General features: G+C 33.9%; 1 protein-coding gene across 11 annotated transcripts in view; it reads right to left on the bottom strand.

The window, feature by feature from the left end:
- Positions 1–22,576, bottom strand: part of RICTOR (RPTOR independent companion of MTOR complex 2) — a 136,480-nt gene that overhangs the window by 23,868 nt on the left and 90,036 nt on the right. For 10 of the 11 annotated variants that reach the window (NM_001438249.1, NM_001438049.1, NM_001438247.1 and 7 more), the window contains 12 exons: positions 20,080–20,249; positions 16,796–16,863; positions 13,750–13,817; positions 10,090–10,172; positions 6,156–6,243; positions 5,550–5,640; positions 5,374–5,440; positions 4,854–4,934; positions 3,005–3,105; positions 1,089–1,254; positions 698–799; positions 528–574 (listed from right to left, as the gene is read on the bottom strand). In NM_001438249.1, coding sequence (NP_001425178.1) covers positions 528–574; positions 698–799; positions 1,089–1,254; positions 3,005–3,105; positions 4,854–4,934; positions 5,374–5,440; positions 5,550–5,640; positions 6,156–6,243; positions 10,090–10,172; positions 13,750–13,817; positions 16,796–16,863; positions 20,080–20,249 — 1,132 coding nt within the window. The remainder of the gene's footprint in view (positions 1–527; positions 575–697; positions 800–1,088; positions 1,255–3,004; positions 3,106–4,853; positions 4,935–5,373; positions 5,441–5,549; positions 5,641–6,155; positions 6,244–10,089; positions 10,173–13,749; positions 13,818–16,795; positions 16,864–20,079; positions 20,250–22,576) is intronic. The other variant, NM_001285440.2, reaches the window with a different exon arrangement.

Below are 22,576 nucleotides of genomic sequence, written 5' to 3' on the forward strand. Positions count from 1 at the left end.
GAGATCAGTAGTAATAGCTGGTTAGTCTAAACTCAGGAGTAAAAACATATGGGTGTAATGAAGAACAGCATCGTAGCTTAAAGTGTTCTTCATGCTACAAACATTTGCACGGGTTATGGAAGGTGTGGTTAAGGAGAATGTAAACAGCAGTTATAATGGATAACTCCAAAGTCAAACAGGAATAAAAGTTGTATATTAAAAATATAAGTCCTTATTATGTCATCCTCATATGTCAGGGCTAAGACCCACTATACAATTGATACTACCCCAATTTGAAAAACTTTTATCTCAACTACTTCATCTATTCCAAAACTAAAAGCAGAATGTAAATAACTAGAAAAAGAATTTGCTAATATGTTTTGGTTATAAAATAAGACTATATTAAAAATATATATGAGTACCTATTGAAGAGACATTGTTAAAATGTATGTATATGTCTTTAAAATTATTACATATTTTAGCAGGTATTAGGCCTAATATCCATATTTAAGTTCTTTAAATTTAAATGCAAAATAGTTCTTACATACCTGTGTAACTGTTCATCTTTATAGTTTCTTAGATTTACATTTGGCCACTAGAAAAACATAATATGTTATATTACATATGTACTTATCAATTCTCACACATATAAGATAATTACGTTATAATTAATAATAAAATTAAAGACAAGCCATTACCATGAAGTATCTTTTCATACCTTAAGAATGGTCCCTATAAGATTCCAATTCCATTCAAGATTCTCTTTATGTTGAAGGACTTGGCTATCTCTAAGGTTAATTAAAAGAGCTTCCTCTGTATCCTAAAATCATCAGAAAGTAATAAGAAAAATTAAGGCAAACTGTCCTCATATCAGAAAACTAAGTTCAAATTTGAAAAAATGAAAGGCAGCTTTTCCATTTAAGGATAGATCAAGGTTTTTTAACTTTAAAGTTATAAAAACCCATCTCCAAATTATAAAACTCAGAAGCCATCTGAAAATTCATATGCATGAAGAGAAGTGTAAACTCAAATACATGCATACTAAAATCCAGTGGTTAAGGAATTAAGATGTTGTGTTTAAGATGAAAATCATGATTTCATGTCAGCACCTTAAGGATAAATATATCTTTCTGAACTCGGAGATACTGATCCCGTTTCTGGTGTGTTGCAATTGCTTTCTGAATAATGTGGTCTAAATGAAGACTATAAGGCTTAGGTCCTCGTTTCTTCATTTCATGGAAGCGTTTTAAACAGTTCAAGGCTGCACTGGCTCGCCTAATGAGAAAAACAATTCAATCAATACAGTAGCAAGACCAATATAATTTAAGAGATTACCTTGGTAAATTATTAAAGCTTACGTAAGATCAAGGCTAGAAATTATTATTGATAAAGTAAATTATTTCATCAAATTTGGAGAGACAAATACAAAAAATAACACTACTGATTTATATAAAGACACACTGATTATTTAGATGCAATTGAACATGTACTTACTAAACTTTTCTTCTATGGTGGTAGGTATTTTTTGTATATTGGTTTTAAGAACTACAAGGTCAGAAACCTAGTTTTCTATATTTTCTTATCGAAATTTTAAAGCTTTGCTTTTCACGTATAAATCCTTAATCCGCCTGAAACTTATTTTTGTTTATGATATGAGGTTGAAATAATTTCACTGTACTCCCATATGGATAATCAATGATCCCAGTATCAACTGAACAGTCTCTATTTTCCACATTGGTCTGTAACTGTAAATGGTATATTTTTATAAATTATATTTAATTCTTTGTGGTAAATACAAGTGCCACTTTCAAGAATTTGGTAGCAAGTCTCACCTTCAGAATTTCTAGTAAGTGGAATTTTTAAATATTGGGATGTGCTGACTGGCAAGTATTTATCAATAAAGAAAGCTTACTGAGCTAAAGATAAAACTATTTTAAGAGGACTATTCTTACTGGAATTCTGAAGATAAATTTGAATTCCTGATAAACCCTGGAATTTGTGGCCATAATCTAACCCAGAGTTTAGGTCTATCAGGTATTGGGAAAGTACATTCTTCCATCATGAAACTACTAATATAAAAGCTAAAAGCTACTATTACTGATGTAAGCCTAGAGACAGAACTGAGATAACTCCTAATGCCCTCAGTTTATAAGACAACTTTGGTCTGTTAAACAGTATTTCCAAAGGCAGAATGAAAATTAACAGATTATTAAGCGTACTTTATTATTAAAGCTAAGTAAACTTTTCAAAAATGTACTATAACTCTTAACAAAAATACATAGTTTTGAATAGCTAAAAAACTCCATTTCACTAACATCAAGCAAAAAAATAAAATCGTCCATGTATGTTTTTGATCATAATAACAAAATAAAAAAACAACCACAAAAAGACATTCCTAGCGTAGATATAATCTTTGCCAAGTCAAACTAAGTTCCTTCTAGCACTTCCCAATTGAACCCTTCCATCATTACCTTTTATATATATTTTATTATTAGCACTGGAATTCCAGCAGAGCTACAATTGTATTACCATAATTTTGTTCGTAAATTCTATGTTTGCAGTATCTCCTTTAGTAGCAGGAGTTCAGCTTATTGCTATGTGGCCCAGTAGTACTTGTTACTAAATTGCAACATTTTTAACCACGCAAATAAAAGAATATATTAATACTGTAAAGCTTTATTTGAAATAGTTCATAGACATAAAAAAAAGAGCCAGAATTGCTGCTCATGACATAAAGGAGTCCAAAAACCTCTCAGCTAACATTTTTAGTAATATGATAACCATTCTATGTCCTTGTCTACAAACATGCTAGAAAAAAGTGATTTTATTACACTATTAGTATTTTGCAGCCTAAAAGACAAATTATTAAATATTTTTAGAACTATTAATTTTTCCTTTAGCAAATTCCTTAAAAGAATTTCCCACCATAACCTATCCATACTATTTTTTTTAAAAAGAAGAGACAATAATCTAATTTGATATTAAATATATCAAACAAAAGCTTTGCTAAAGCTCTGATACTTACAGTCTCTTTTCCTTGGGGATATCAAAGGATGCAGCCATATTCATTAGGGTTGGCAAGCAGTGTAAATGATGGCTATGTGAATGAGGAAGAATTGTGTTTGCCTAAAATGAAGCATAACATTTTACATGAGTTTTCAGAAGTAGAAAGAGTTTATGTCACAGATTACCTGCACATATAATGCTGTATTCAAGACTATTACAAATTCTGAGGTTTTACTCATAAAATTAACTTATTTTCCCCAATACATGCTTATTTATATTTTTATCATATCTATAATACTTTCAACAAGGATGGAATATAAAGATACACACATATTAACATAACCATTAAGTTTCATAGATTCTTTATTATAATATTATGGTTTTAAGTGGTACCCAGTTAAACTCAATTCTTAAATGCCAGAAGGGATTATATGTCAAAACATTACAGGAATCAACCTAAGTTATGTTTAAAATAACATTTAAAATGCTAGATGCCATATCCAAATTTATGAGTTGACTTCTTAAGTTTTAAAAACTACTTTCTCAAAATAGATGTGTCCCATATGCCATAATCTTTAAAATAAGAAATATTAATTTCTACTTTCCAAACAAAAACCTCACCACCCAACCAGCTATCAATGAAGACAAGTACATCGATCAAATGTGGAAGATAGAAAATGTAAGAATAATAAGCAAAATAACCAGCTCTTTTATTTCAAGAAAATTATAGAATTCTAGGTATGGGACAAGGGAAAAAGATAAAATGTATAGAGATTCCTTCATATAAAAGCAAATAACTCTGAATATTGGTATTCTTGAACAGGAAATGGTATCTTTTAAGAATTAAAAGACAAATAATCAGACCTGAAAGCCTCTGACTCTATATAATTCTTTCACAGATGGGCCAAAAAAGAACAGAGCAAGCAGCTAAATAATTCACTGATTTAAAAAAAGAAAGTTAAATTAAATTCTGCTTAATGCTCTTTACCTCACTCACATAGCCCAGTTGCTATGAAGGGAAAACAAGGGTGGGGAGGAGGGGAAGAGATCAAGAAAGAAAAACCTAAACAAAAAACATCTGCTAAAAATAGCAAACTGTGACATAATTTCAAAAGATTTGCCATAGAATCAATTCTTCCTTAATGAGTTTTAAATGGTTCTTTTTATTTTGTATTTACTAACTAGTAAGTAATCTAAAAATATAAATTCCTACCTTGCAAACTATCAGGGATCCCTCATTGATTGATTTGCTGACAGTAAGAATTGTCAAATCACTTTCCTAGCTCCTACTTTCCAAAAGTTACTGTAATCACAAAATCATGGTGAAAAGAAAAACAAAAAAAACAAAACAAAACAAAAAAAACCCATCTTCTGAACCTCAAACTACAAGTTTATAGAAAAGACTATAATGTTCAACCAAGACTACATTTAAAGCTTCTGCACAAAGCTTTCTAAAATTCAGGCACTGACTACCATGTATCAAGTACATTCTTAGCAGACTGAAGTAGTATCCATAGTTTTGCAATTTCTTGCTTCTTAGGAAGTCTTTCTGAGATCAATTAAGATTTACAGGACGAAAATGTCAACTTTGAAAGTGAGTGTAAAAATCAACATTTCAGTACTTTGCATGTTGTATATTTATTCCATTTACAAAACCAATCAAAATATGCATGTGCATGCGCATGCGCGCACGTACATATCTATCTCAGGATACAGTACCAAGGGCTTTTTCTAATGCAAAGATAAACATTTATAAGAAATGCAAATTTATTTTTGAGATAATACAAAGCAACACTATTAAAATAACTTGTTTTATAAATTCAAACATTAAAGGTATGAAACATATAATCAGAAGTTGCTAAACTTACCATATGTAAAAGCTCTCCTAAAAGGATGGTAGCTCTAACTGAGATATGATCATCACTGTTTGTTATCACTTCAACTAGACCCTTTGAAAATAAAAAGATAACACCACTGTTGCAAAATAATACATATGAAAACATTTATGCATCAGATTTATTTTTCAAAATTTTTTTTTTTTTTTTAAGACAAGAGGCTTGCTCTGTTGCCCAGGCTGGAATGCAACGGCAAGATCTCAGCTCAGTATAACCTCTGCCTTCCGGGTTCAAGCAATTCTCGTGTGTCAGCCTCCTGAGTAGCTGGGACTACAGGGGTATGCCATCATGCATGGCTAATTTTTGTATTTTTAGTTGAGACACAGTTTCACCATGTTGGTCAGGCTGGTCTCGAACTCCTGGCCTGAAGTGATCCGCCTGCCTTGGCTTCTCAAAGTGTTGGGATTACAGGCGTGAGTCACCACACCTGGCATGAAAGAATCTGTTAGAGAAAATAAACAAAATGGAATAAAATAAGGTTTATAAGTCTTACCTCTAAAAGTCCATTACGAATAAATGCAGAGAGTATCAGTGCCAAATAATTATCCATGAGGTCTGGCCTGGAAAAAACAGCACAGAAACAATTTAAATAAAGTTTCATAGATTACACAGTCTAACATAAAAACCCGAATTCTAATAAATTGAAACCCTTTTTATTTTAAATTCTACCTGGATCTGGCACGATGAGGAAGAATAGTTTTTGCCTCAGCTGCCACAAAGCCATCTGAAAGCCTCCAACTGTCTTGGAACCTCCCTGGATCTAAATTAGTTAAAATATGGTAGGGAAAAGATTAGATATCACTGAAACATTTCAGATAAGTATAAAACCATCAGCTAGCCAGGCTATAAAGAACTTTAAAAAGTGCTGGTTAAATACCATACATTCAAAAAGATACAGACAAAAATTAGTTATGTAAATACACGCAGATCTAATTTTCTTCATTTTGGGACTTCGGTACTTTAAGTCATTTGGCTCAAATAAGATGAGAATTAGATAATCTGAGGATTACATAGGTTTCTTACTGTCTCCTCTCTTCCTTTTTTGGCCCATTCCTATTAATTTAATTGCTCTTAGAGCCAAGGTGATAAAGAAGAAATTAAAATTTCTCAGTCTTAGGAACTTGAGGTTTTATTTTTATATTAATTTCCTGTCACAATTATGCAGCAAGAAAAGAAAATAGTGTTCAATAATTTAGTATTTCTCCTTTTAGGAACTGTCTCCATTAAATAAAAATTACAATATATGAAAAGATACAAATGTACTTCAATACTTACCTACACTGAGTAGTGCTTCTATGAACTCCTCAGTCACAACAGGTAGAGGAAGACGAAATATATCATAAAGCACTTCAAGTAGACCTCGCTAAATTAGCAAACAAATACACCTCATTTATTTTTATGAAACACTTTTAAGATTTTTAAATGTCCTATTCACATTTTTTAAAATGATAAAAACAGAACTATTAATACAATGACATGTCACATAACAATATTTTAGTCAATGATGGACCATATATACGATGGTCGTTCCCTAAGATTATGATGAAGCTGAAAAATTCCTATCGCCTAGTGAAACTGTAGCAGCAGTCATATTGTCTGTCACAGGGCAATATTACTGAACTGTTTGTGGTGATGCTGGAGTAAACAAACCCACTGCACTGCCAGTTGTTTAAAAGCATTATATATGGAATTATGTAAAATTACATAATACCTGATAATGATAATAAATGACTATGTTACTGGTTTACATATTTACTATACTATACCTTTTACCATTATCTTAGAGTGTACTTCTATACTTTAAAAAACAAAACAAAAAAAAAAAAAGCCCTTTGGGAAGCCAAGGTGGGAGGACTGCTTGAGGCCAGAATTTTGAGACTAGGAACATAGTGAAACCCCATCTCTACAAAAAATTTAAAAATTCACTGGGTGTGGTGGCACGTTCCTGTAGTCCTAGCTACTCGGGAGGCTGGGGCAAGAGGATCACTTGAGTCGAGGAGTTCGAGGATGCAGTGAGCTATGATCATTCCACTGCACTCTAGCCTGGGTGACAGCAAGACCCTGCCTCTTAAAAAAAAAAAAAAAAAGTTAACTGTAAAACAGCCTCAGGTAGGTATTCCATAACAAGACATGGTTATCACATGACAGCTTCATTCATGTATACTGCCCCTGGAGACATTCCAGTATACTGCCCCTGGAGACATTCCAGACATACAAGGTATGGAGGTGGAAGACAGTGATACTGATGATCCTAACCCTGTATAGGCCTAGGCTAGTGTGTGTTTGGCGGGGGAGGAGTTTTTTTTTTTTTTTTTTTTTTTTTGAGGCAGTCTCGCTCATCTCCCAGGCTGGAGGGCAGTGGCACAATCTCGGCTCACTGTAACCTCCACCTCCCGGGTTCAAGCAATTCTCCTGCCGCCAGCCTCCTGAGTAGCTGGGATTATAGGCACCTGCCACCACGCCCGGCTAATTTTTGTATTTTCAGTAGCGATGGGGGTTTCACCATGTTGGCCAGGCTGGTCTCGAACTCCTGACCTCAGGTGATCTGCCCGCCTTGGCCTCCCAAAGTGCTGGGATTACAGGTGTGAGCCACCGCACCTGGCCTGTGTTTTTGTTTTTAACAAAAAAGTTTAAAAAGTAAAAAAATTTAAAAACAGAAAAATCTTATAGAATAAGGATATAAAACCAAAAAAATTTTGAACACCTATACAATGTGTTTGTGTTTTAAGCTAAATATTATTGCAAAAGAGTCAAAAGTTTAAAAAATTTGAAAATTATAAACTAAAAAGGTTACAGTAAGCTAATTATTTTTGAAGAAAAGAATTTTAATAAATTAAATGTAGCCTAAGTATACAAGTCTGTAAAGTCTACAGTAGTGTACAGTCATGTCCTAGGTCTTAACATTCACTCACTTCTCACACATTGACTCATCCAGAGCTACTATTAGTCCCATAAGCTCCATGCACTGTAAGTAGCCTATATAGGTGCTGTATTTTTAATTTTTTTTTTTTTTTTTTTTGAGATGGAGTCTCGCTCTGTGGCCCAGGCTGAAGTGCAGTGGCGTGATCTCGGCTCACTGCAAGCTCCGCCTCCCGGGTTCACACCATTCTCCTGCCTCAGCCTCCCGAGTAGCTGGGACTACAGGTGCCTGCCACCATGCCCGGCTGTTTTTTCTATTTTTAGTAGAGACAGGCTTCACCGTGTTAGCCAGGATGGTCTCGATCTCCTGATCTCATGATCCGCCCGCCTCGGCCTCCCAAAATGCTGCAATTACAGGTGTGAGCCACTGTGCCCGGCCAGTATTTTTAATCTTTTATACTGTATTTTTATTGTACCTTTTCTATGTTTAGATGTTTAGATACACGAATTCCATTGTGTTACAACTGCCTACAGTACTCAGTACAGTAACATGCTATACAGGTTTGTAGCTTAGAAGCAACAGGCTATACCACATAACCTAGGTGTGTAGTAGGCTGTACCATCTAGGTCTGTGTAAGTACTCTGGGATGTTCACAGGATGAAATCATCTAACAGTGAGTTTCTTAGAACACATTCCTATCATTAACCAATGCATGATTATACCATATTTTGAAACTGTATAAGGCCTATATTAGAGAAGGGATAACTAAATGCTTACTACTACATACATCACTTAATCTAGTCATTAAATTTTTCATTAACCTAATTGTGCAAAAAAGCAATTGTCCCAAGGTCATGGAGCTAACAAAAAAGTAAATAAAACCAGAGGTTAAACTCCAGTTGGTCAGACTCTCCAAAGACCATGTTCTTTTTCCACCTATTACAGTAAGAAGTGAATTATCTCAAGTTTGTTACCTGCTTACAGATCTTTCCATTTATAATTATATCCTTCCATTTCCATTATCTAAATACTTTTTATTTCACATTTAAACAAGGCACACCTGGCTAATATTTTCTAATAATATTTTTCACCTCCAGGTTTGGTTCATATAAGGAAGGGCAAAAGAAAGAAACAAAATTAAAACAAATAAAAACATTTAAGGAGAAAGGAAAAAAATCACTTTAAGAATTCTCTTTTCCTTCAAATTCGATTTAACTGTATAATACAAATTCTTACAAATAATTTAGAAATATACCTAATAAATATAGAAATATTAACAATTCCATTTTAATCAAAACCACCATCGTTAAAATAAAATCTCACCACATATTACAAAACATAAGTTAGAAGGCATAAATACATTTACCTTTTGTTAAACGTAGTCTGTAGTGCTTGAACCTTTTATAGTGAGAATGCCCTTGTGTGTTGTTTATATTGTTTTAATGAATAAAGCATAATAAAGTTCATATTTTCAACTCAACTTTTTTTTGTTTTTTTGAGATGGAGTTTCACTCTTGTTGCCCAGGCTGGAGTGCAATGGTGCGATCTTGGCTCACTGCAACCTCCACCTCCCAGGTTTAAGTGATTCTCCTGCCTCAGCATCCTGAGTACTTGGGATTACAGGTGCCCACCACCTAAGTAGCTGGGATTACAGGTGCCTGGCTAACTTTTTGTATTTTTAGTAGAGACGGGGTTTCACCATATTGAGGAGGCTGGTCTCGAACTCCTGACCTCAGGTGATCCACCTACCTGCCTTGGCCTCCCAAAGTGCTGGGATTACAGGCGTGAGCCACCATGTCCGGCCTCAACTCAATTTTTAATACAGCCATTATTCCTAACAACAGCAATTTTTTTTTTTTTTTTGAGATGGAGTCTCGCTCTGTCACCCAGGCTGGAGTGCAATGGCGCTATCTCAGCTCACTGCAACCTCTGCCTCCTGGGTTCAAGCGATTCTCCTGCCTCAGCCTCCTGAGTAGCTGGGATTACAGGCGTGTGCCACCATGCCCAGCTAATTTTTGTATTTTTTTTTTTTTTAAGTAGAGATGGGGTTTCACCATGTTGGTCAGGCTGGTCTTGAACTCCTGACCTCGTGATCCACCCACTTCGGCCTCCCAAAGTTCTGGGATTACACGCATGAGCCACCGTGCCCAGACAACAGCAATATTTTAAATGATTCCTATTATATTTAGGGTTTAACTAAGTAGTAAATATTTACTTCTGTATTTTAAAAATATGATCTAGATTAACAACTAATGAGGAAAACACATCACCTGAAATAATTTTTTTTTTATAATTAATTCCCACTGTTAAAGGTCCAGGAATGAAACAATCCTAATAACTTTTACCTACCCTTATTTCCATATTTGGTATGCAAAGTACTCCTATTAGAGACTGGATCCCAGAATTTCCAGGTTTACATAAATTAATAATACCTAAAGAGGACAGAAAGAAAAAAAAATCACTGACATGAATTTCAAAAAAATTTCTATGGCAATGTATAATATAAAACTTGTCATATTTTTCTAGGCAAAATTATATGATTATGATACTATTTGGTCATCATAAGAACTATTATATAACTGAAATATATTTGAAGCATACTCTGTATTTCTCTATTGATTAGAGATTACCAATAATTTCGTCATTTAAATTCCATCTTCAGTATCTGTTTAATACCCAGAAAGTTCATGAGTCTGACTGCCTGATGAACTCTTCTCTGGGAGTAAGAACACGGGAGAAAAATCAGACAATGGTCTGTCTCCCCTCTTTTATACTCCTCACTTTAAAGTGAAAAACTCTACTTGGCATTTATTAAAGTTCAATTCTAAAATATACTGAATGCACATGAGTATAAGTAATAGACTTCAAATAAATTATATGATTCAAAATTTTTAAGTTACAGAACTAAGTTGAACAATTTTAAACATATTAAAATCATGTCACAAAAGACGTATGAATAGCCAATAAACACACACAAAGTGCTCAATATCATTAGTCATCAGGGAAATGCAAACTATATTAATAACAAGAAATCAAAATATACCTACTAGAATGGCTAAAATTAAAGACTCACAACACCAAATACTGACAAGGATGCAGAACAACTGGGAGTCACATATGCTGATGATGGGAGTATAAAATAGTGTAAGTATTTTGGGAAAAAGTCTGGCAGTTTCTCATGGACACAAACATACATCCAATCTCAGACCCAGCAATTCCATTTAGGTATTTACGCAAGAGAAATGAAAACTCATGTCCACAAAAAAAGTTTGTATGGAATTGCTCAAAGAAGCTTTATCTTTGATAAAGGAGCTTTGAATAGTCAAATCTAGTAACAGAAGGGCAAAAAAAAAAAAAAGAACAACAAAAACTGAAATGTTCATTGCATGAAATATTATAAAAAAGAAGAACATATTACTGATATATACAATAACATAAATGAGTATCAAAATCATTCTGTCAAGTGAAAGAAGCCTTACAAAAAAAAGCCTTATCAGTATGATTCCACTAATATTAAGTTTCAGAATAGGCAAAACTAAGCCACAAAAATAATGGTGGTTCCTTCTTAGGAGTACGGAGTCAAAAACTGACTAGGAAAGAGTATAAGAGAACTTTCTGGGGCAATGATAATGTTCTATATATTGAAAAGGGTTTGAATTACAAAGGTGTAAGCATTTGTCAAAACGCATCAAACAGTAGACTAATGATGTGTGCATTTCACTGTATGTAAATTTTACCTCAAATCTCTCCCCCCGACAACAAATCAGGACCATAAACAGACATCTAGTTCTAGTTAATAATGTGCATGCTGCAGTGTTCAGGAGTGAAGAGGACTATGTCTGCAACTTCCTTTAAGATATATTAGAATAACATAGATGGACTGATGAACGCCCAGTGGGATGGACAGATATATAATACAGCAAATACAGTAAAATCTAGGTGGAAGTATATGGGTGTTCACTGTATAGTTTTTTCAATTTTTCTGTATGTTTCAAATTTTTTATGACATGTTAGGGAAAACATTCTTTAAAATGTCTTATAGGACTCCAAAGTTCCCTGTACTTCCAGCTAAGCGTACAGATATTTATGAACAGTCTCTATGTTCTCTTTAGATTCAGGATCAAAATTCAAATCGAAACATACTAGGTAAGCTTATTTGCTTAAAGTATCAAAATACTATTTCGCAAATTTTGATGTCTGAGAGTAGTTTGAGAAATTACAGATAAGATATAGTCTCAAAAGATCATACTCTGTGCTAATATGGAAAACAGGCTGTTGCACCTCATTAAAAAATGTGTTCTAAAAGATCATTTTTCAATCAGTTATTTGGAACTGGAAATACATCACAGAAATAATGTTACAAGTACACAAAAGTTTATTTAACTTATAAACAGTACTACAGAATATAAATATTATTTAGGAAGTTATTTCCACGAGACAAATGCTTTCAAGGTTTTAACTTATAATGCTGATATTTCTCTTCTTACTTCAATAGAAAGGTAGAAGACTCCCACCCCTCTAAGTTTCTTTCTTTTTTTTTGAGACAGAGTCTCGCTCTATCACCCAGGCTGGAGTGTAGTGGTGCGATCTTGGCTCACTGCAACCTCCGCCTCCTGGGTTCAAGCAATTCTCCTGCTGCAGCCTCCCGAGTAGCTGGGATTACAGGTGCCCGCCACCACACCTGGCTAATTTTTGTATTTTTAGTAGATACAGGGCTTCACCATGTTGGCCAGGCTGGTCTTGAACCCTTGACCTCAGGTGATCCACCCACCTTAGCATGAGCGACTGCACCCAGCCCCACCCCTCTAAGTTTCTAATGATGAATCATTATAAAAGGGCTCCAGGGGAAATTGAAACACAGTAAAAAAAAATGTTTAAGAGCAATAAGGAAAGACTGGCAGAAACAGACATCATTACAGGAAGCGTAGAGTCTGGACGTAGGAAGAATAAGGAGATAGTAGCTAGGATGCAGGATAGAATTAATTTTTTTGGTAAGATACAAACAGCTCTAATGACAAGGAAGATGAGGAGTGGTAAAGGAAGATGACTGTAACTACAGAAAACAAAGTACTGGGGAGCTGATGAAGTATTTAAAAAAAGTATGTATGACTGTTGAGTCATCATAGAATCCTATGGTTGTCCATCAGCATAAGGAAAATAGGTATTTATGAGGTATAGCAAGGCAGAGCTTTTTACCAAGCTGCTAAGAGATCAGAGAAAATCCCTGGAAACATACTGGTTAGGGGCCAAGTGGCCTTCCCATACAAATGGCTGGAGTAAACATTTGTATGGAAAAGGTATTTTTAAGTTAGGGTTACCTAGGTACACAGAAATGTTTAGGTGAATTTCCTTTTTTTGCTTATTGCTACTTCTTTTCCATGCTACCCCTTCACAATAATACTAAATCAAGAAGGAAGAAGATAATCATTAATACATTGGGTACAAAAGTAATTGCGGTTTTTGCCATTACTCTCAATTACTCTTAATGGCAAAACCCCAATGTTATTAACAACACATTTAATGGTGGTATTATTTTAAAAACAATACTTACTTTTTATTCCATGGAAAGATAAAACATGCACAATCCCTATTCTCAAGAAATTTGGAACTATTAATGGCCTATCTTGCTTATTTTGTATCTATGACACTACACTGTACTTTAAGTAACAAACTTTAGTTACATACACAGCTAACACTCAAGTTTTGTAGGTTTTTTTGGTAAAGATCATGCTTAAATTTTTTTAATTGCCCAGGTAATCATTAGCACAGTGACTGGCAAATAATAAATATGTGTATACTGATCATAATATTAGCTAATTCCTATTGACTATTACAAATTTCCTTCACCATATTTTAATAATTTTGTACGAGTTCCTTTGGTTCTAATAATAATATACAAAGTAAGACTAGATTAGCATCTGAATTAGGTGCTACAATAATAATTTAACATTTGAAAAAGCAGTCTAGTTTTTCTTCTTGGATGTTATAAAGCAATGTAGAGTAACCTACCTGCCCATGATCGGAATGTTGCTATGATTCCCATTTTACTGGCTAGAAATCGTGCTTCTCTGTCTTCTCTGTTGGGGGTGGGGAGGCAGCGGGGAGAATCAATGAAATAAAATGTTAAAATGAGTTTTTTCCTGCTACTAAATCACAATAAGAGCTATCACTAATGTTTAAACATTTACACATAAAATTAAAACAAGACAAAGATCAGATCTACACTAAAGCAAATTAGCCAATTATAAACTGACTTCAAACTTAAACTCACAACATCGTTTAAGTCATAAATTCTGCTTTTCTACTCAGTTCTATATTCCTGCTCCCTGAAAACTATTCTTAGATAAGATTTAATTAAGCATTAAGTCTGCTTAATAAGCATCTGTGGTACTAGGCTGCCCCTTAGCAAAGAAAATTATCACAAAAACCTCTTAATTTTAATCACACACACTGTTTACTTCACAATCTTTGCTCTAAACTTATTTGAACGTTTCCAACAAGCAAGTTCAACAACCTATATAGTCACTGAAATGTTATGAAATAACTACATATTAACATCACCAGCTACTTTCTTCCTTGACAATTATGTACCCAACTGTTTCCATTATTCCCTCCTCTACAATAGTTATGACAATTAAGCAACTGAATTTTTTATATCTATTAAACATTTTTCATGGTTGGCTTATGGCCAGTTTCAATACTTAATAGCAATTTTGTGTCTCTTTATGTCACTCCAACCACCATGTCTACCCTGTCGATTGTCCCTTTTTTCCTGTGCCACCTTTTTTTTTTAATCTTTCCTACTTAAATTTTTAATGGTTGTGAGCATACAAAAAAATCACAGAACTGGGAAAAACAGCAACAAAAAGTAGAAGGAATAAACAGCAATGACAGAATATCAAATTAGATATGAGTGAGCAATTAGTCTACAAAAGTGGATTGAAAAGCTCAAAGAAAAAGACTAAGCTATGCAGCACCAGCTAAAATGAGAAAATAACAGAAATGAAAATGGGGGCGGGGGTGGCTTGGAAGAAGGGAGAATCAGACACCTGTGTGATTAAGCTTTCAGTGCTTTCTCTTAAAAAAGTTGGTGACATACATTGACTGTTTGGTAATCCATCTCTAACCTATTAAACTTGTAATATTTTAAAAATCAGTCATTTCCCTGTTCCCTGGTCATAATATACCCTTATTTACAGGCCTGATATCTACCTGCTTATACTCCAGAAACTTAGAAGAAAGTACAGAACCAAATAGGAAAGATTCTGATGGAATAGCCCCACCCTCCCAATTCTAAGAAATATCTAGGTTCACCTGTTGTCCATCATCATATGCAGAATTCTATATATGGCCCTATCCCAAGATTCCATGACCTGATCTCTGGGTCCTGTGAACATGGTGAGGTATCAGCGCTATGACTGTGACTATGTTTATGTTATATTGTCTAGCAGAGCATAAGAAAGAGTATACAGCATATAGCAGGCTTGATCTAATTAGAGAGCTTTCTCTAGCTGGTAGCCAAAGAAAAAGTCAGAGAGGCTGAAAGCAGTAGAAAGATTCCAGCATTGTTGCCTTTGCAGAGGGAGAAGACCATGTGCTGAGGAATGTGGGAGGCCTCTAGAAGGTGAAAGTAGGCCCCAGCTGACAGCCAGTAAAGAAAAAGGCATAGCAGTTGTACAGTAGCAAGAAACTAAATTTTCTCAACAATCTGAATGACCTTGGAAGTGGATTCTTCACCAGAGCCTCCAGGCAAGACCTGAGCCAGACTTCTGACCTATCAAACTGTGATCTAATAAACTGGTATTGTTTTAAGCCATCATGCTTATTGTTATTTGGTGTGCAGCAACAGAAAACTCATACACTCTCCACAATAAGAGAATGTCTATATTTCAAAAGAAGCCAAGAAAGGGCCTTACAAATTCCGATTCATAACTGAAGTTTGCAGGAATAAGTTTGAGAAGTCTTAGAGGACATCTACTTTGATCTCTTAGCTCAAAGTAGATCATGGTATGTTAGGGTGAGAATGAGTTCACAATGATGGATGTGACTGAAGGTATGAAACCACTTTTTTTTTTTTTTTTTTTTTTTGAGACAGAGTGTCGCTCTGTCACCCAGGATAGTGCAGTGGTGTGATCTCAGCTCAATGCAAACTCCGCCTCCCAGGTTCAAGCAATTCTCCTGCCTCAGCCTCTGGAGTAGCTGGGAATACCCATGCCCAGCTAATTTTTTTTGTATTTTTAGTAGAGACGGGGTTTCACCAGATTGGTCAGGCTGGTCTCAAACTCCTGACCTCAGGCGGTCCACCCGCCTCGGCCTCCCAAAGTGCTAGGATTACAGGAATCACTATTTTTAACTCAGGGGAAAAATGAAAAACAATAAAAACATTTCCCTGGCAATGTATACTATGTATCACAGTAAGTTTATGTCTACATTAAACTCATTGCAGTGCAATAAAGTCTACCAGAAAAAACACTAGATAGCGTATTTAATGGAATTGTGTCATTTGCAAAATCTTTACAGAGTGCTTTATTTGATCCCTAAATTATGTTAAAGTTATCTCCAAATACCTAGTGAACATGTGCCTTTCTCTCCAAAAACACCCTGAAAATTATACTGTCTCATTTCTAGATAATAATATTTACTCTATTCTCATTTATTTCTGTATTAAACTTATTCTCAGAATTCTACATATTACATCATTCTGCTGACTCAGTAAGTTAAGGTCACTCTTCATTCTACTATCTACTGTTATTTCATTCTTTTGGTTTTTTAAATGTAATTATGCTAAAATATATACATTACAAAAACAATGACCTTGGTTTCTGTCACAGTCTACCATATATTTTTGGAAATAAGAAATTAATCTTTAAATTTCTCAAAGCTTTAAATTTTTTAAACCACAGTAAATTATGAGAGAAATGCAACTAATTCTATAAAATAGAAAATTTATTTAAACTCACATTTCTCTGGCTGTACATGGAATCACGCAAACCTAAAAGCTTTAGTATTAACATATACATTATCTTAAAAATTATTAGGAACCAATGTTACTTACTTGAGCTGTCCTTCAGCTGTATCTGGACTATGTCTGTAGTGAAAATCAGTATAGGGTGCTAAAATTCTCTATTTAAAAAAAAAAAGGAAGAAAAGAGTCTTTATTTTAAAATGCATCCTTCCTGCATTTTATGGAATGTAACATTCCATTTCTCTCTATCTTTAATGGGTTTACTGCTTGGGGGACTTATTTCTTCTAACTCATCATCAGGGAATATGTTTGGTGATTTTTTTTAATGTACAAATTGAAGTTCTGAACTTTTAAATTGAGGTTTAACATGTATCTAAAACAGTGATTTTCTCAAACTAAGCACACTCATGTAACTAGCACAAGATAAAACATTATAGGCATCCTCAAAGCTCTATTATACCTTTGTAGTCACAATCAGTATCTATCCCAAGATAACCGTCTTGACTTCTGACACTATGATTAGTTTTGCCTGTGTTTGAAAATTTAAATAGTTCTATTAATGAACTGCACGTTCCTTTTGTTGCTGGTATAAAGAAAATCCAAGTTATTTTTGTGTGGTGTTGTTTGTATTCAGCAACCTTGCTAAAATAACTCATTACTTTAGTACTTAAGAGACAAGATCTTACTCTACTGTGCAGACTAAGGTGTAGTGAGTGGTGTGATCACAGCTTACTGCAACCTTGAACTCCTAGGCTCAAGCAATCCTCCCGCCTTAGCCTCCAGAGTAGCTGGGATTACCGGCTACTTTAGAACTACTATATTTTATTAACAACCTTCCCATCTTGTCTACGGCATTACTGTGGACATGAATTTTAGTTCTAAATATAATTTAAAACATAAGAGATTAATAACTACTTTTAACAGTCATGATTCTTTTAAATCTAGTCATATATTTACTTTTTCTGGTGCTCTTCATTCCTTCCTGCATTTCTTTGTTTTAGGTCATTTTCCTTTTAACTGAGGATTCCCTTTAGTCTTTATGTCTCCTTTTAACAACAAATCATATTTATTAATTTATACAGTTTCAATGACTTAAGAGTCTAGGAGAGGCTTGGCTACATGGTTATGGCTCAAAGTCTCATAAGATTTCAGTCCAAGTGCTAGCCAAGCCTGTAGTCATCTGAAGGTCTGACTGGAGCTAGAGGATCTGCGTCAACAAGTGTCATTCACAAGGTGCTGATTATTGGCAAGAGGGCTCAGTTCCTCCCTATGTATTATCTTGTTTGTTTTCTGAGCTTTACAACATGAAGCTTTATCAGTTTTAGAAACAAAGTTTTGGCCACTTTCTCTTTGGATCTTTGCTTCTGCCAATTTTTTCTCTCCAAAGACTGCAATTACGTTTTATCCCTTTTGTGCTGTTCAATTTATTTCTTTTTTCTCTGTGCTTTACTGTGTGTATTAACATTATTTTTGTTTTACCCTTGGATATTTTTATTGACTTCTCTTTCAGTTTACTAATAACATCTTCCTGTTCAAACTGAATTTTAATTTCATTGTGCTCTGAATTCCAGATATCGTATTTTCAGTACTGGAATTTCCATTTGATTTTTTTCACATATCCAATTATATGATAAAATTCTCCATTATTTCATCTATTTTATTTCTCTTCTTGAACAAATTAATCGGGGTTGTTTTAATGTCTTTTTCCTCTATCTGAATCACCTGCAAGCATGTTTCTATGGATTGTTTTTTTTCTTTTGGGTTTTCAGTCATACAGTCATGTCTTTTTACGTGACTAATTTCCAACTGAATGTCAGGCATTGTGCACTTTATAAAAGACTCCAAGTGATGTTATCTCCCACTAGAGATGGCTTATTCTTTCCTCTGCTAGACAGGTAGATTAAGGGGACTGATCACCTTATTCTAACGTCCAACTAAGTTAAATTGAGGCTACAATGCAATTTTGATAAGACTAAGTAGGCCTCTGGTTTTCCTGTGTTTGAGGTTTGTTTCATTTACATAAAGGCTTTGCTAATCCACTGTGTGATATATAGGAATAAAAACTCAGCTGGCTGGGCATAGTGGCTCATACCTGTAAGCCCAGCAGTTTGGGAGGCTGAAGTGGGTGGACTGCATGAGCTCCAGGAGTTCAAGACCAGCCTGAGCAACATGGCAAAGCCCCGTCTCTACAAAAAATACAAAAATTAGCCAGGTGTGGTGGCATGTAACTATAGTCCCAGCTACTCAGGAGGTTGACATGGAAGGATCGATTGAGTGCGGGAGGTCCAGGCTGCAGTGAGATGTGATTGTGCCACTACACTTAAGCCTGGGCAACAGAGTGAGACCCCATCTCAAAACAAAACAAAAAGCAAAACACAGAGCCTATACATATTATCTTTTATTCATCTCTCCAATTTTAAAATTACAGTTTTCTTACTTGATAAGAAAAAAAATTAAAGCTAAACATATTATAAAATATCAACAGTGCCAGTTTATTCCCACAGGATTCCAATAAATAATATACTTGAAATCACTTATTAGGACTATTATACTAACATTGTTAGTTAATAATATAGGCTAATGTCAATTTTATAATGTGAAGCATTTTTAAAAATAGTCCTGATAAAAACAGAACACTTAAGTTTCAAAAAATGATTTGGAAAAACAAATTAGGGGACAATCAATCTTTTATATCACACATGATTTCATACCTAAATACAAACAAATCCTTGATTTAAGCTGACTCCAAATACTATATTCAAAGGACAACAATGCAATACATGCACACGAAGAAACTATAATACAGTGCATAATTCTGTTCCAACCTCCACGACATACTTTCTTATAAGGTATACAGTAGCCCTGTTACTTTTGACTAACTGTAATAAACCTTACTTGAATCAGTAAAAAATTTAAGAGGTATTTACAAAATATACATACATGCTTTCTTTCAAGTAGATATAATTAGTTGCTAACAAAGTGCTTCCAACTTCAGATAATTTTAGGTTTCATAAATATTGTATAATTAGCAGGAGCTATTCACACACAATGTACTAAAGGCCTTAAAAACAAATGGTAATCTTAAATAGGTAAATTTGTTACATAACTTTATTTGTACTCTAATTTGGTTCATAAACTTTTCATAGATAATACAAAAATAAAATTTACACATTGATGAAATATTCTTAAGAGTAATGTTTTCAATTCAGTCCAAACTGAATGATCTGTAAAACAGAGCTGGGAATAAATTAGTGTCGGCTAATTTAGGCTTGATAATTAATGTGGTGCTGCATCTATAAAATTTAGTATTTCAAAGTAAAAGTATACATTTATAATAATATTTTAAAACTAGAAAAGAATATTAAAGTTCCTACCTCTAATTCTACATCAGCTCGCACATACTGTCGAGTCTTTGGATGATTAAGAAGGTGCAAAATTGTAGTAATTAGGGCCTCATTTATTCGACTTAATTGGCAATCGATCACATTTTTCAAGATGGTGTTTAGTCCACCTCGAAGGGCCACCACCTCTGGATTCTGAAGTGCTAAAAGAGAAAAACTTAACATATTATATTTGGGGTAATTATTAAAAGTAATAAAAAATCTAGGCTTTAAAACTTAATTGCCTTTCTGACTTGAAAAACTTTCTAATACCAACATTTATAAGAACAGGTAGATAAAAGGACAAGTGGAAAATGTAAGAGTCACTGAATATACTTCCCCACAACCTGATATTTAAAATATCTTTGGATTGTCTTTTCATACCCTTTGTCCATATAATAACGGAATGGCTTTTTTTCCTATCAGTTGCAGGGAGTTCTTTATAAAGTAGGGATATTAGCCATTTATCTGTCTCAAATCTTTCATTTGTGATTTAACTTCAGATTTTGATTAAAATGGTGTATTTCATTTCTCTATATTTTTATTAAACACACACATAGAACACACAGTTTAATAATTTTAAGCTCAAAAATTTCTTGCTCCAAAGATCAGGCATTTATTTGCATACGTGCATGTGTACATATGTGTTTTAAAAGAGTTCATGAATTAGTTACACTTCGGTTTTCAATCTGTTAGGAAGCTGAGTTTTGTTAAGATGATAAACTCAATTTTCCCCCTTCCAAATGTTGAATCAATTATCCTGGGATGCTTCCCAAACTAGTTTTTGTACTTTATGATACATTAAAGTTTTCTGTTTATCAGGGTCAGCAACTCTTGATTCTCTTTCATTTTTCTCTCCCTTAACAACCTAGGTTAACAGTTTAAAATTATACATACATACACACATATATATATACATATATATACACATACATATATATATATAAACAGTTAACAGTTTATACATACATATACATATAAATATATTCTCTTTCAAAAATGTTTATTTTTACTCTTTTTCAAAAATGTTTTCATGGTTGGTTCTTTACTGTTTATTCTTCCAGAAAATTTTAGAATCAAGTTTCTTTTCTTCTATTTTCTAAAATGAGGCATAATTACATTTAGTAAAATCACAGATCTTAATGGTATAGTTCAATAAACTATGAACAATGTCCCACTCAACACACAGAACTCTCATTATCCTAGAAAGATCTCTCACATTACTTTCCAATGAGTCCTCCTCCATTGCACAGGCAGCCACTGTTCTCATTTCTACCCTTATAGATTAGTTGTGTCTTCTTAAGAACCAATTTGACAAATTCAAAAGTACTTCCCAAACACACACACAAGTCATACACAGTTCTTATAAAATTTGTCTTATATATTTTCTTTTCTACTTTAAAATAGTATTGCTTTTTCTAATTACTGATTATTGTTGAAACACAAAAATCTGTCAAATCTGTGTTTTCACATAGTCCTACTACCTAAAATTAAGTTGGTTTTCGCTTCAGAGTTTTTCTATATATAAGATACCATCTACAAAGTAACACTGTCTCCTTTCCAATATATAAACATATTTTATTTTGGCTAATAACCTGGCTAAAAGTTTTAAAATAATGCTAATTAATAGTTACAAGGATGTGGTATCTGTAGAAATTCACCATTAAGAATAGCATTGATTGTTGATTTGAGATAAATATTCTTGAATGTTAACAAAGGAGCCTTCTAATTATCTATGTATCTAGGCATATGTGTATCTGTGTACATGTACATAAAATGCTAGTTACATAATAAGAAATTTGTAGGTTTGGCCAGGCACGGTGGCTCAGGCCTGTAATCCCAGCACTTTGGGAGGCTGAGGCGGGTGGATCACGAGGTCAAGAGATCGAGACATCCTGGCCAACATGGTGAAACCCCATCTCTACTGAAAATACAAAAAAAAATTAGCTGGGCATGGTGGTGCGTGCCTGTAGTCCCAGCTACTTGGGAGGCTGAGGCAGGAGAATTGCCTGAACCCAGGAGGCGGAGGTTGCAGTGAGCCTGAGATTGCGCCACTACACTCCAGCCTGGTGGCAGAGTGAGACTCCATCTCAAAAACAAAAACAAAACAAAACAAAAGAAAGAAATCTGTATCTTTTTAATGCTCTAAATCAGATAACACTACGTAAGAATTACCTGTTTTTTTTTTTAAAACAAAAGTACCTGGATGAGTTTTTTTGGAGCAATTATTTTATCAATGTTTTCAAATACTTCTATAGCTTTTGAACTATTTGTATTTTACAATTTGTGAGTGACTGGAAATTAAAATTTATCCTGAAAATCCATTCATATTATTAAGTTTCCGAATAACATAAAAACTATTCTCTTCATTTATTTATTAATCTTTTGTATTTCAAATCTTTGAGTTTTCCAAACATTTGTGGATTTTAGTTTCTTCTTCCAATTAACAATTTAGATTACATAATCTATCTTGTTCAATAATTAAGACTTT

The sequence above is a fragment of the Homo sapiens genome, chromosome 5 (assembly GCF_000001405.40).
Source record: "Homo sapiens chromosome 5, GRCh38.p14 Primary Assembly".
In the NCBI taxonomy this organism is placed as follows: Eukaryota; Metazoa; Chordata; class Mammalia; order Primates; family Hominidae; genus Homo; species Homo sapiens.